The sequence below is a fragment of the Homo sapiens genome, chromosome X (assembly GCF_000001405.40).
Source record: "Homo sapiens chromosome X, GRCh38.p14 Primary Assembly".
In the NCBI taxonomy this organism is placed as follows: Eukaryota; Metazoa; Chordata; class Mammalia; order Primates; family Hominidae; genus Homo; species Homo sapiens.
Window position 1 is genome coordinate 135,922,971 of NC_000023.11, and position 12,937 is coordinate 135,935,907.

Here is a 12,937-nt window from a genome sequence, read left to right on the forward strand (position 1 = left end):
CATGCGACACCATGCCTGGCTAATTTTGTATTTTTAGTAGAGACGGGATTCACCATGTTGGTCAGGCTGGTGTCGAACTCCTGACCTCAGTTGATCCACTTGCCTCGGCCTCCCAAAGTGTTAAGATTACAGGCGTGAGCCACCATGCCCAGGCCTGAGTTAAGTTTAATAGACTAACAGTATGGTTAATTACTTCCCCAGCAGACAGGCCAGTGTCTCTAAAAGTCATTACAGTATGGCAGGCAAGTACCAAGAAAATGAAGACGTTACCTATCTTCCAGATTGGCTTTATCTGGAATTGTGTTCTAGAATAGAAAGTTTAGAGCCTCTATGGGCTGGCAGGTATAATTAGTAGCTTCCTCTGGTTCGTGTAAAGATTTATTGCAAAGTTGAATTCTGATCATGTGAACCCGACTGGCTATTCCTTGCAGCTCGACAGCCACTGGGGTGGTGAGTAGTACTTGCTAAGGTCCCTTCCATTTAGGAAGAAGTGGATCTGCCAGGTGGCCTTCCTTCCAAGTTTTTAATAGGACCCTGTCTCCAGGTAGGATTTGGGGAATGTTTTTCACTTGTCCAGGTGAGGGCAGCACTGCATTGCCATACTCCTGGATAGCTTGCTGTACCCAGGTTAGTTTTTTGTTTTGTTTGTTTGTTTTTGACATCAGACTATTTCTCTGTCACCCAGGCTGGAGTCTAGTGATGCAGGCTCGGCTCACTACAACCTCCGTGATTCTCCTGCCTCGGCCACCTGAGTAGCTGGGACTATAGGATGGCCACCATACCCGGCTCGTTTTTGTATTTTGGGGGTTTCACTATATTGCCCTGTCTGGTCTTCAACTCCTGACCTCAAGTGATCCACCTGCCTCAGTCTCCCAAAGTGATGAAAGTACAGATGTGGATCACCGCAACTGGCCCCTGGCTTAGATTTCGATTATATTGTATAGTAGACAGGGTTTCTAGTTTGATTAACAGGTCTAAGGTAAGGAAGGGTCTCCCAGAAGTCATCTCAAACGGACTAAGTTTTGTCTTTTCTTTGGGTGCCACTCGTATTCTCATGAGGGCTATAGGCAACAGAGTGTACCAAGACTCAGAAGTTTCCTGGCACAGTTTTGCCAGTGTCTGCCTTAAAGTTTGATTAGTCCTATTAACCTTGCTGGAGGATTGTGGCTTCCATGAGGAGTGGAGATGAAATTTAATTTCCAAAGCTTGGGCTATCTATTGGGTTACAGTTGCAAGAAAACAGGGGCCTTTGTCGCTCTGCAAGGAGCAGGGGAGGCCAAATCTGGTATGACCTCTCTTGGCAGTGCCTTGGCCACTTCTGTAGCTTTCTCTGTTCTGGTGGGGAAAGCTTCTACCCATTCAATAAAGGTGTCTACAAAAACTAAAAGGTATTTAAAAACCCAAAAGGAGGGCATTTGGGTGCAGTGAATTTGCAATTCCTCACCAGGATAGGTTCGTTACCACTGGACTGAGGTTAATAAAGGAGGAGACCCTTGTTTTTTGTTTGTTTGTTTTGTTTGCCCCCAAGGTAACTTTGAGAGCAAAGTTCACAAGCCCGAGTGACCTTTTTTATTGTGGTTGCCAGGCCTTTACCTGTAAAAACATGGTTCATCCAGGCGGGTCATAGCGTCCTGCCATATGGAGGGAATTATGTAAACTTTTAACAATTTGCCACGGTGGGACTGAAGAAGCAATAGCTTTTGGCGTATGAGTCACCAACCCTCAGGTGTTACGGTCTTCGATTTTCTTAACCCATGCTCTTTCTTCTATAGTATAGGATGGATTTATATCAAGAGAATGGGACGGGGCATGGTGGCTCATACCTGTTATCCAGCATTTTGGGAGCCTGAGGCGGGCAGATCAACTGAGGCCAGGAGTTTGAGACCAGCCTGGACAACATGGCAAACCCCTTCTCTGCTAAAGTACAAAAATTAGTGGCGTGATGGCACCTGCCTGTAGTCCCAGCTACTCAGCAGGCTGAGGCAGGAAAATTGCTTGAGCCCAGGAGGCAGAGGATGCAGTGAGCCGAGATCATGCCACTGCACTTCAGCTTGGGTGACAGAGCAAGACTCAGTCTCAAAAAAATAAAAAATAAGATAAAATATAGAGAATGGGCAGAGAGGAATAAGGCCAGCGGGGCTACACCTTCCGTGATTGCCCTGCTATCTTGCCTGCCAGCCTTTGCATTGTCCAATGAGACTGAGGAGTTTCCTTTTTGATGTCTCTCACAGTGAATGACCGCCACTTGCTTAGGATCATTCACAGCCCCTAAAAGCTGCAGTATTTCTTTACTATGTTCAATGGGGGAATTCCTTGCATTTAGAAGACCCCGTCCTTTACAGATAGCAACATGTGCATGAAGGACAAAGCAGGCATCCTTGGAGTCAATATATATGTTTAGTATCTTTCCCTGACCTACAGCCAGGGCCCTAGCGAGGAGAATTAGCTCTGCTTTTTGTGCTGAGGCATTAGGTGGCAGTGCCTGGGCGTCTATTGTTTGCTGTAGACTATCCACATTATATCCTGCCCTTCTTTTTCCATTTTCCGTAAAAATACTTCCATCAGTGAACCACTCAGCATCAATGTGATTAGATATCGACACATTTGTATGTGAAATAATTTACCTCACAAAAGATAACAGGAAATTATTGAAAGTCCAAATGTTTTAATATTTCTAAATTTAGGTGAACTTACAAGTGTTTATAATGATGCTATGGTTAACAACAGAGCAATGGTCATGTGTCTGACTGGTCTTAAAAATTCAGAACAAATACTTAATGCTTCTGGGAAATCAAATCTTTTGAAAACCAAACAAGCAAACTGTGTATTCCCAATTTTTTAAATTTTACTTTATGTTCTGGGATACATGTGCAGAATGCGCAGGTTTGTTACATAGGTATACATGTGCCATGGTGGTTTGCTGTACCTATCAACCTGTCATCTAGGTTTTAAGCCCCGCATGCATTAGGTATTTGTCCTAATGCTCTCCCTCCCCTCGGAGCATCTATGGCAGGTGTATACAAGCGTACATACCTGCCAGAATTTAATCAAAAATCATTATGCCAAACATGAGACTCATTGGGTTCATTTTTTTGTGTGAATTCAATGAGTATATGGAAGTTCTTATATCTGTTCAAAATAACACATCAAAATATATCTGGAAAATTATATATTTATATAGAGACATACTGGGCTTCAAGATAACATGCAATGAAGAAACTAAAAACTAATTAAAGATGGTTATCAAATATTAAAAGACATGGCCGGGCGCGGTGGCTCAAGCCTATAATCCCAACACTTTGGGAGGCCAAGGTGGGCAGATCATGAGGTCAGGAGATCCAGACCATCCTGGCTAACACGGTGAAACCCTGTCTCTACTAAAAACACAAAAAATTAGCCGGGTGTGGTGGCAGGCGCCTGTAGTCCCAGCTACTCAGGAGTCTGAGGCAGGAGAATGGCATGAACCCAGGAGGCAAAGATTGCATTGAGCCGAGATCATGCCACTGCACTCCAGCCTGGGTGACAGAGCGAGATTCCCTCTTAAAAGAAAAAAAAAAGACATAGTATGAAATAACATAAAATATTATGCCAAGTAGAAAGTGTCTTTTCACATGCAGATTACAAATATGTGTGCAACATTTTGGCTTAATAATATTTTCAACCAAGTAGAAAAATTTAATAAAGCTCTACAATTAAAAAAAAAACCATATCTAGGCCAGGTGTGGTGCTGAGGTGGGTGGATCGAGAACAGCCTGGCCAATATGGTGAAACCCTGTCTCTACAAAACAAAATAAAAATTAGCCAAGTGTGTTGGCATACACCTGTCATCCCACCAGCTACTACAGAGGCTGATGGGGAAGGATCACTTGAGCTCAAGAGGTCGATACTGCAGTGAGCCGTGATTGTGCCACTGCACTCCATCTTGGGCAACAGAGCGCAACCCTGTCTCAAGAAAAACACACATAACTATACATACAAAAAAGCAAAACTACCTTTGCTTACAGAAAGTGGAAGAAAGTGTGTGTGTATATATATATATATATGTATATTATATATGTATATATATATACACACACGTGTGTGTATATGTATGTGTGTATATATAGTAAATAAAAAAAATAAATTAAAAAATAATATTGTAAGGTTTGTGCACCTACTTTCCAATTTTTCAATACATTTGCAACAACTTTAATGTTCTGGAAACACTAATTGTTTAAAAATTTATGAAAATATGTTTATCGAGGTGCACATTTCCCCCGTGCCTTGGGCTCCAGTGTGACTGCACAGCACTAAGTAAGGGCAGGGGATTAGGGCTCTCCACATCCAGGCATTGTGAGTGACTCTTCCCAGAATATAAAAAGGAGAGAAGTGGAAGAAGGTAGGGGTGGCTCTGAAAGCAGAGGTTTTTCAGCACCATCTCAGCTGACATCTCACTGTCAACAACTGGGTCAGAGGACCACCCTTACTGAAACAGAGTCCAAGACGGAAAATATTTTTTTAAAAGGGCTGCCCAAAACAAAATCAGGGTTACAATAGAGAGGAAGAAAGGGGAATGGATAGCAGGTAGTCAGGTAGCAATGCCTGCCCACAAATGAGACACTGAACCATGACACAGATAGACTGTCTGCAAGTGGAAGTGCTATGATGAAAACAAGGGGCAGAAATTACTGAGGGTCTTACTTTAGATTAGATGACAGAAAGGTCTCTCCGAGACAGTGGTATTTAAGGAGAGATGGAAAAGATGACCAGGAGCAGTGGCTCACATCTGTAATCCCAACACTTCAGGAGGCTGAGACAAGAGGACTACTTGAGACCAGGAGTTCAAGACCAGCCTAGGCAAAATAGAGACTCCATCTCCACACAAAAAAATAATAATTAAAAATAACATAAAATAAAGAAAAATAACAAAATGGGAAACAGTTATTTGGGCAGAGGAAAGAGCAACTATAAAGGCTCAGTAATAGACACATGCCTGTCATGTTTGAGGAACAACAAAGAGGCTGGAGTCACTTCAGCACAGAGATGGATGGGACAGGGACAGGTGGGTGGCACCAAGTATGGTTGGGAATATGAAGCAGGGGCCTCATGAGGCAAAGCTCTTCCAACTGCCCCTTCTGTGATTGCATCATCAGTCTTTCTTGGACGAAAAGTTTAAGAATATGATTTGGGTTTTTGTTTTTGTTTTTTGGCCTCCATCCACAATATCCTCCCTGCCCATCGTGGAGTTGGGGCTGGCCAAGGCAGAAGCCCATTATTCCTCCAGTTCCTTCAGCAGCCACAGCCTGGGATTGGTCTTGCTGCCAACCTCCTAGCTGATGCACAGGGGATGAGCCCTCAGCCTGTGTTCACAGAATTCCTTAAAGCCCTTTTACCTAGACATGGTCCAGCTTTGTGGGACTGCACTTCTGCTCAGTTTCCTTGAAAAACACTCCTGGACCCTGTAAAACCTGGAGTCTACAGAACCTTCCATGTATTTTTCCAAATTCCACAATTTACAAAACCTTGCACATATTTTTCCATAGGAGGCCCAAACCTCCTCTTTGTATCTCCTTTTCTTCCCTGTTTCTTAAAGAGATTGCCCAAGGGGCACCAACTGGATTGGACTCTTCTAGTAAGCCTCCTTCTTGGACTCTAGGCTCTCCCCTTGGAAACTGCAATATTGAGGCTCTAGGACCTGCTAGCAAGCTCTGGCCTTGTAGATGACAGATTCCGGTGTCCCAGGAGCACCAGTCCATCCTAAGTCCTTCCTTCCCAGTTCAGAGAAAACCCACAGTGGCTAAGCTGAGTTCTGATGCAGGCACTACCTCTTTGGGTTCAAACACAGGTCTGTACACCCCACTGCTGGCTGCATAGCAGACACTAGGAAAAGGCAAATATCTATATTCCCTTTTTTACATTTCCTTGGGAATCACTTTTACTAATCTCCCTCACAAGACTTGCAGAGCACTTGGAACTTTCTCAAATGGAAAGATCTCTGTATACATAATTTGATGATCTGTAACAACTTATTCAGAAACTTCTTCATTCTGGTTCTGAGACTAATGCATTACATACATTGGATATCACACTTGTGAAAGTCAGGTTTAAGCAGAATATCAAGTATATTCATGGACCCCCCTACACATCTGTGAGCAAAACCTTGTGGAAACCATGCTTTTCCACCATCAGAGAAGACCTACTTTAAAGCAGAAGCTCTTTTGGGAATCATCAGGTTGTGTTTGGCATGGCAGCAGGGGCAGGGACATTAGAACACAAGTTATTGTCATTCCCCCCTCACCAAGGCCCCTAAAAGCATTGGCTGGCTCCGTTGGGCCCGTCTGGTTGTCCTCAACTGTCAAGATTTGGATTTGCCATTTACTGACAGTGGGACTTGGGTCGTCCCCTCATCTTCTGTGGCCTGAACTTCCTCACCAGTAAAATGGGGTGAGCAATTTCTACTCCCTGGAATCCTCAGCAGGAGTGAAAGAGATGTAACATTCCAAGTGTCTGTACCATGCCAGGGCATAGTCAGAAAATTTGTGGGCTAACGATGAGGGCAAAGATGAATGATACTGGCTGGGCTCATCAGTGCTGCGTGACACCTACAGGGAGACGGACTCTGGTGACCCCTAACCCCCAGGAGAAACTGGAAAGGTACAGAGATGTCCGCCATGGAGCACAGCCTGTGGACAGGGAAACATGCACTTTGGAGGCAGGAAGGCAGCCCGATTTAAGATGCTCTGCATGAGCTTTAAGCAGAATCTCCACTGTCTAGTGTGAATTGATTTTCTGAGTATCTCCCCCAGAAAAGAGACTGTTGTTCTAGGTGCAGGTTTTCAAAAGAAAGGACGTCCCTTTTTATACAAGCTCCATGTTGCGGGAATATCAAGCGTCTGCCAAGGGACACTTAGCCTTGTATTACGGGCTCTTGAAACTGATACAGAGTTGCATCATATTTTAAGATGAAAGGGGTTTTTGCCATGGGCTTCTCCACTTGGCAAGGCAAAATCTTCGCACATTTTAGTTTGGGGATCTCAGTTTACTAAGGAATTTAGTCGCCCTTTTGTGTAGTACAGTCACATTGCAGTAGAATTCTTAGAGCATTGGCAGTGGAGTTAGAAACACCTGGGTTTAAATCTGGGCTTAGCTACCAGCTAGTTGTCTGTCCTTGGGCAAGTGACTTAATCTCTCAAGGCTCAGTCTCCTCAGGTGTTATTTAGAAACCATAGCTCCTATCTCAAAAGGTTGTGTGGGGATTGAAGGTGAGCATGAACGTAAGAAGTCATAGGCAATGCCCAGCATGTTTTCATTGCTCATGCGATGTCCTTCCTGGGTTGGTACGGCATACAGGAAGCGGACATGGCCAAGTACCTAGTAGATGTTGCAGCTCTGGGGCAGAGCAAAGTTCAAGGTGGGTCATTTGCTGATTTTCAGTGACCTGTTCTGGGGTACACAGAGTGAAGACTAGCCCGGAAGGCCAGCAATAAGCTGAGTGAGGGTAATTGGGCCCTGACAGGAGACAGCTTCCTAGGAGTACTCAGAGCTGACAGGCTGAGGCAGAGGCAGAAGCAGAAGATGGGAGCTAAGCCCTCACTCTCCTGAGAGGCCCATGTAAGAGACGACAAGTGAGTAGAGAAAGTTCTGGAGTCAGGGTCATGTGATGAGTAGAACACAATGGGAGGCTGTGGGTCAGGAGGAGTCTAAAGCTGGAGAGTATGATGAGGCTGCACTGGATGAGTGGAAAGTGCTTTGGGTTCAAGACAGAGCTGGAGATGAGGTGCTGCTACAGGTATGCACTTATGTGCCTATGACCTGGCACTAGTTACTTAACCTCTCTGTGTTTCCATATCCTCTTCTGTAAACAGAGGATGATAACAGCAGCTATTCCCTAGGATTACTGCGAACAGTAAAAGAATTAATTCATTTATTCAACATTGACTAAAAACCCTCTAAGTGCCAGGCACTAATATCGGCATGAAAAAAACAGTGAACTAAACTGTTCTCGTGGATCTTACATTCCAGTGGAGGGCAAATGCACTAAACAACCAGAGCAACTACAGAACATGTTATTCACCAAAAGCAGAAATCAGGTGAAGAGATGGTACAAGAGTGGATGGTACTTTGAACTTGGTAGTCAAGGAAGGCCTCTCTGAGAAAGAGACATCTAACCTGAGACAGGAGTAAAGGACCTTATGCATTTAGTTCAGCCCTGAAAGGCTCAGCTTCTGCAGAGTCCCCTCTCCTCCAAGGTCAGAGAAAAAGGAGGGACACGGATTTTAGTAAGTCTTCCTAAGGCTTTCCAGCTCATGTCTTTGGGTGCAGTCTGCATGTAATCTTTTCTTCTGCATGTCTGCCCTGCTCCAGCACCGGAGGAGGAGACAGCAATCTTACAGAGACTGCTTAATGAGCTCCTACCATTGCAGAAGGCCCTTTCATTATGAAAAATCTGTACACACAGATATTATCGCCTATTGGTTCTGCTTTCCTGGTTGAAGTTTGATTGATATAGATTTTGGTATTAAGTGTGATTTCAGAAGAACAGAATTTTAAGAAGAAATTCTCTGAAATTGTTCTGGGTTTCTGGAGTTCTCTCTTTTATCTAATTTGATTTAAAGGCCTTCGTGACCCTGTTTCTAATGGTAAAAGAGCACTGGTAGTCTACAGCAAGAAGTGGCAAGGGATTTTCTTAAATTATCACTTTTAGTTATTTGCACTCAAGCACCTGTAAGAATGCCAGGGTCTAGGTGATCAAGTAGGTGATTTCCGTAAACAAGTATCCCAGAACGTAAAATAAAATAAAAATTTTAAAACTACAAAAAAAGCCTAGTATGGTGGCGCAGGCCTATAGTCCCAGCTACTCTGGGGGCTGAGGTGGGAAGGTCGCTTGGGCTTAGTGTAGGGTCCAGCCCTACTGGGCCTGTGGGTTTTTCTCCTCGTTTGCGGAGACGAGAGATCGTAGAAACAAAGACACAAGACAAAGAAAAGACAGCTAGGCCCGGGGGACCACTACCACCTAGACGCGGAGACCAGCAGTGGCCCCGAATACCTGGCTGCGCTGTTATTTATTGGATACAAGGTTAGGGAGCAGGGTAAGGCCCAGGCACTGGGTTACCGCTAGACCAGGGAGCCCTCTAGTGGCCCTATCCAGGCATAACAGAGGGCTCACACTCTTGTCTTCTGGTCACTTCTCACCGTGTCCCTTCAGCTCCTATCTCTGTATGGCCTGGTTTTTCCTAGGTTATCATTGTAGAACAAAGATTATTATAATATTGTAATAAAGAGTAATGCTACAAACTAATTATTAGTAATATTCATATATAATCATATCTATAATCTATTTCTAGAATATTCTTATTGTATATATTTCCTTTATTGTACTGAAACAGCTTGTGCCTTTGGTCTCTTGCCTCGGCACCTGGGTGGCTTGCCGCCCACAGCTCAAGAGGCGGAGGTTGCAGTGGGCCGGGATCATGCCACTGCACTCCAGCCTGGGCAACAGAGAGACACCTTTTCTCAAAATTTAAATAAATGGATAAGTAAATAAAGTAGAAAAAAAAACAATGTAGTGAAAATGAGGAGTATAATGGAGATGACTGGTTGCCTCTAAATGTGCTGGAGAACATAGGAAAAGAAAATTATGACCTCAGGTCCTTAAAGCCTTATCCATACCAAGATCCACATAAAGAGCTAGAAAGCATCCATGAAAGAACCCATTATCTCCCGTAGCCACATACCTGATATTTGGGAAAACCATATCCAAAGGTGAATCTTGCAGTTGGCTGAATTACAACACGAATGCAATTCCTAATCTCTCAAGGTCTCTTCTGTTCATGTAGAGCACTGACTGGGAATGAATGGGATCCTGAACATTTTAATGTGATATATATGCAGACTTTGATGAAGCTGGGTACCTTGAACCCCTAAATTCTGTGAGATATGTCTTTCAGACACCTAAAAAAAGGTGTAAAAAAGTAAAAAAAAGCACCTTCACTCCCGCCCAAGGAGTTTATTTCTCCTCTGCCTGAAGAACCTGCAATAGTCTGGTCTGAGGTAGTGGCCTTGCAGGACACTGTTGATCCTCCTGAGAAACTGCACCCACCACCTTTACTTCATTTAAAACCCTGTAAGACTCAAGTTTCCACCAGCCCCAAACTAGAGGGTACATAATGTGACCCATTAGTAGGGGTAGAATGTACTATAACAACTACTGATATTTTTTTCCAACGCTAATAGGCAGAAACCTAGGGACTTTGTGTGGAAATGTTTCTTGAGGGTGGGGTATGAAGGTAGAGAAAAAATAAATTTGATACACACCAGATTTATCAATATAGAGTCATTAAGCCAAGGTTCTGGATTCAGTGTTTTTCTTTGAGAGGGTAAGGATGGCTCTAGCAGTTTGCTTGGTTGGTTGACTAAAATAAGGAAGCAAATGTTGACTATCCTTAATTAAGGAGAAATTCAAGGACTTCCTTGATATAGTCCAAAGGCTTAAGGACACTGGAATGTTGGAGTGAATTTATCATGGAAGAACTGCTCAGCCATGCTGGTAGGTCCAGAGGACGTGACTTTCACCAAGGCTGCAAGAAATTACTTTGTATGCGGAGCCCAGAAATCTGTGAGGAGTTTGTGGTGGCTGTCTTCTTTAGTCATACATTACTGCAGGCTTGCCCTTGAGGAAAGATCATGCTGCACTGCCTAATAACTATGCTGTTAATCGTTGTCCCGACCTTCCTCAACAGATCTGCGCCCAATTCTTACTGTGGCAGTGCATGGTGGAAAAGTAATCAGAATTCTCAGGGATTACTTGATAAAGGCTTTGAACTGGTACTAATTCCAGGATACCTAAAATGTCCCTATGCTACTCTAATAAGAGTTGTTTCTGTTAATCATGTGGTTTTTCATCAGGAAATTCATGTGGTTTTACATCAGGTCCAATGTACAGTGGACTAAGTTGGTCCATGAATCCACCTTCTGGTTGTTTCCCAGTTTCAGAATGCATAGTTGGGGACGTACACGGTAACTGGCAGAATCCCCACATTGGTTCCCTGACCTGTGGAGTGAGGGATGCTATGGATGGAGAGGCCAAGCTGAAGCCACTAGAACTGCCCTAATTATAAAAATCATAATCCACAAGCAATACTACTTTCCTGGAGGGACTGCAGTAACTGGTGGTAACACCAAGCATTTGAAGGACATAGGCTAGTGATTCTTCAGCCATCCCTTTCAACTGAACTATTTGTCCTGTGCAGAAATATATGGATTTGTGGCCAGGCACGGTGGCTCACGCCTATAATCCCAGCACTTTGGGAAACCAAGGCAGGTGGGTCACTTGAGGTCAGGAGTTCAAGACCAGCCTGGCCAACATGGTGAATCCCTGTCTCTACTAAAATATACAAACAATTAGCAAGGTGTGATGGTGCACAACTACAGTCCCAGCTGCTCAGGAGGTTGAGGCAGGAGAATCGCTTGGACCTGGGAGGTACTGCAGCTGCTGTGCTCCAGGTGGTTTTGTTGCTTTCGTAACTGTGACATCCCTGGGAACCTGATACATAATATCAATTAGGTGAATGTTTTTTTCTCTTTCAGTCATTATCACAAACAAGTTTGGGTTCGGCTGGAAAGGTCAGCAATGTACTATGACCTCCTATTTCAAGCTTATATCAACTCTCTAAGCTTACATCCTAAATGAGTCCTTAAGGGTCCTTGACCACCGTTCCCTTATACCAGATGTGACAGCATCCTTGCACTGATAACACTATGCTGACTGAGCGGGAGGTAGCAACTAATCCAGTCGCATTAGCAACACACTTGCAAGACATTCTGTGATAAATAATTCCCACACAAAATCAGGGGCCTTCTAACTGAGTGAAACGTTTAACAATCTAGTAGTCTGGCATGTCAAGATGGTGCTTATAAGGTGAACAGCAAGTTCCTACATCTTGCCTTTCTTACCACTAAATAAGGAACGCAAAAACGAATTGTGTAATAGATGCTTGTTTTCGCGTATACCTCAATGTTGTGCAGTACCATGACCCATTGCCAAGTGACTGAAACCCTGCTAGCATGGATTGGGGCCCAGAAAAGGAGAAACTTCTCTGATCCTGCACGTGTGGTCTCGTGTGGAGTTCCCTGTGACCAGTTGACTAGAAAATAAAAAATATCATGCCTGATTTTCATTTGTTACTTCAGAATATTCAGGCACAACATGTATTAGTTTGTTAATGCTACAAAACAAATTATCCCCAATTTAGCAGCTTAAAACAACACAAATATATAAGCAGTTCTGTAGATCAGAAATCTATGCAGCCTGGATTGGTTTCTCTGCTTAGGATCTCACAAAATCAAAGTTAAGGTATCAACCAGGCTGCTGACTAACTGAGGACTCAGAGAGAACCTGTTTTCAAGCTCATTTGGGTTACGGGAAGGTCTAACTTCTTAAAGTTGTGGAACTGAGGTAGCCATATACTTGCAGTCTTGGCTGAGGCCACTCTAAGCTACTTGAGCCACCTCCATACCTCCTTGGATGCACCCCTCTATCTTCTAAGCAGTAATGGTGCATCATGATTATGGTGGCTGACATAAAGATTATTCATGGGTTTGGCAAGATGAACTTTCATTTACCAGGTCCATCTCACTACAGCCACTGCTCACTATTCAATCTGCCAGCAGCAGAGACCAACACTGAGTCCCCAGTGTAGCACCATGTCCCAGAGTGGTCAGTCAGCTTCCAGGTAGCACTGTGATTACTTGGGTCTGCTTCCATGATTGAAGGGGTATCACTTTGACCTTGCTCAAATGGACACTTATTCTGCATATGGATTTTCATTCCCACCCACAGTACGTCAAGAAAACCAATACTGTGGTATTAGGAAAGGCTGTATCCACCATCGTGGTATCCCACACTGCACCAGTTTTTTTTTTAATACTTTAAGTTCTAGGGTACATGTGCACAACATGC

The 12,937-nt window shown here is 43.8% G+C and overlaps 1 annotated feature.

The window, feature by feature from the left end:
• Positions 9,348–9,584: a silencer, noted in NCBI's record as "fragment chrX:135014477-135014713 (GRCh37/hg19 assembly coordinates)". NCBI's record gives its function as "represses an EF-1alpha promoter that drives an FKBP-Casp9 reporter gene in an ReSE screen in K562 erythroleukemia cells {active_cell/tissue: K562}" and the evidence as "EXISTENCE:reporter gene assay evidence [ECO:0000049][PMID:32094911]".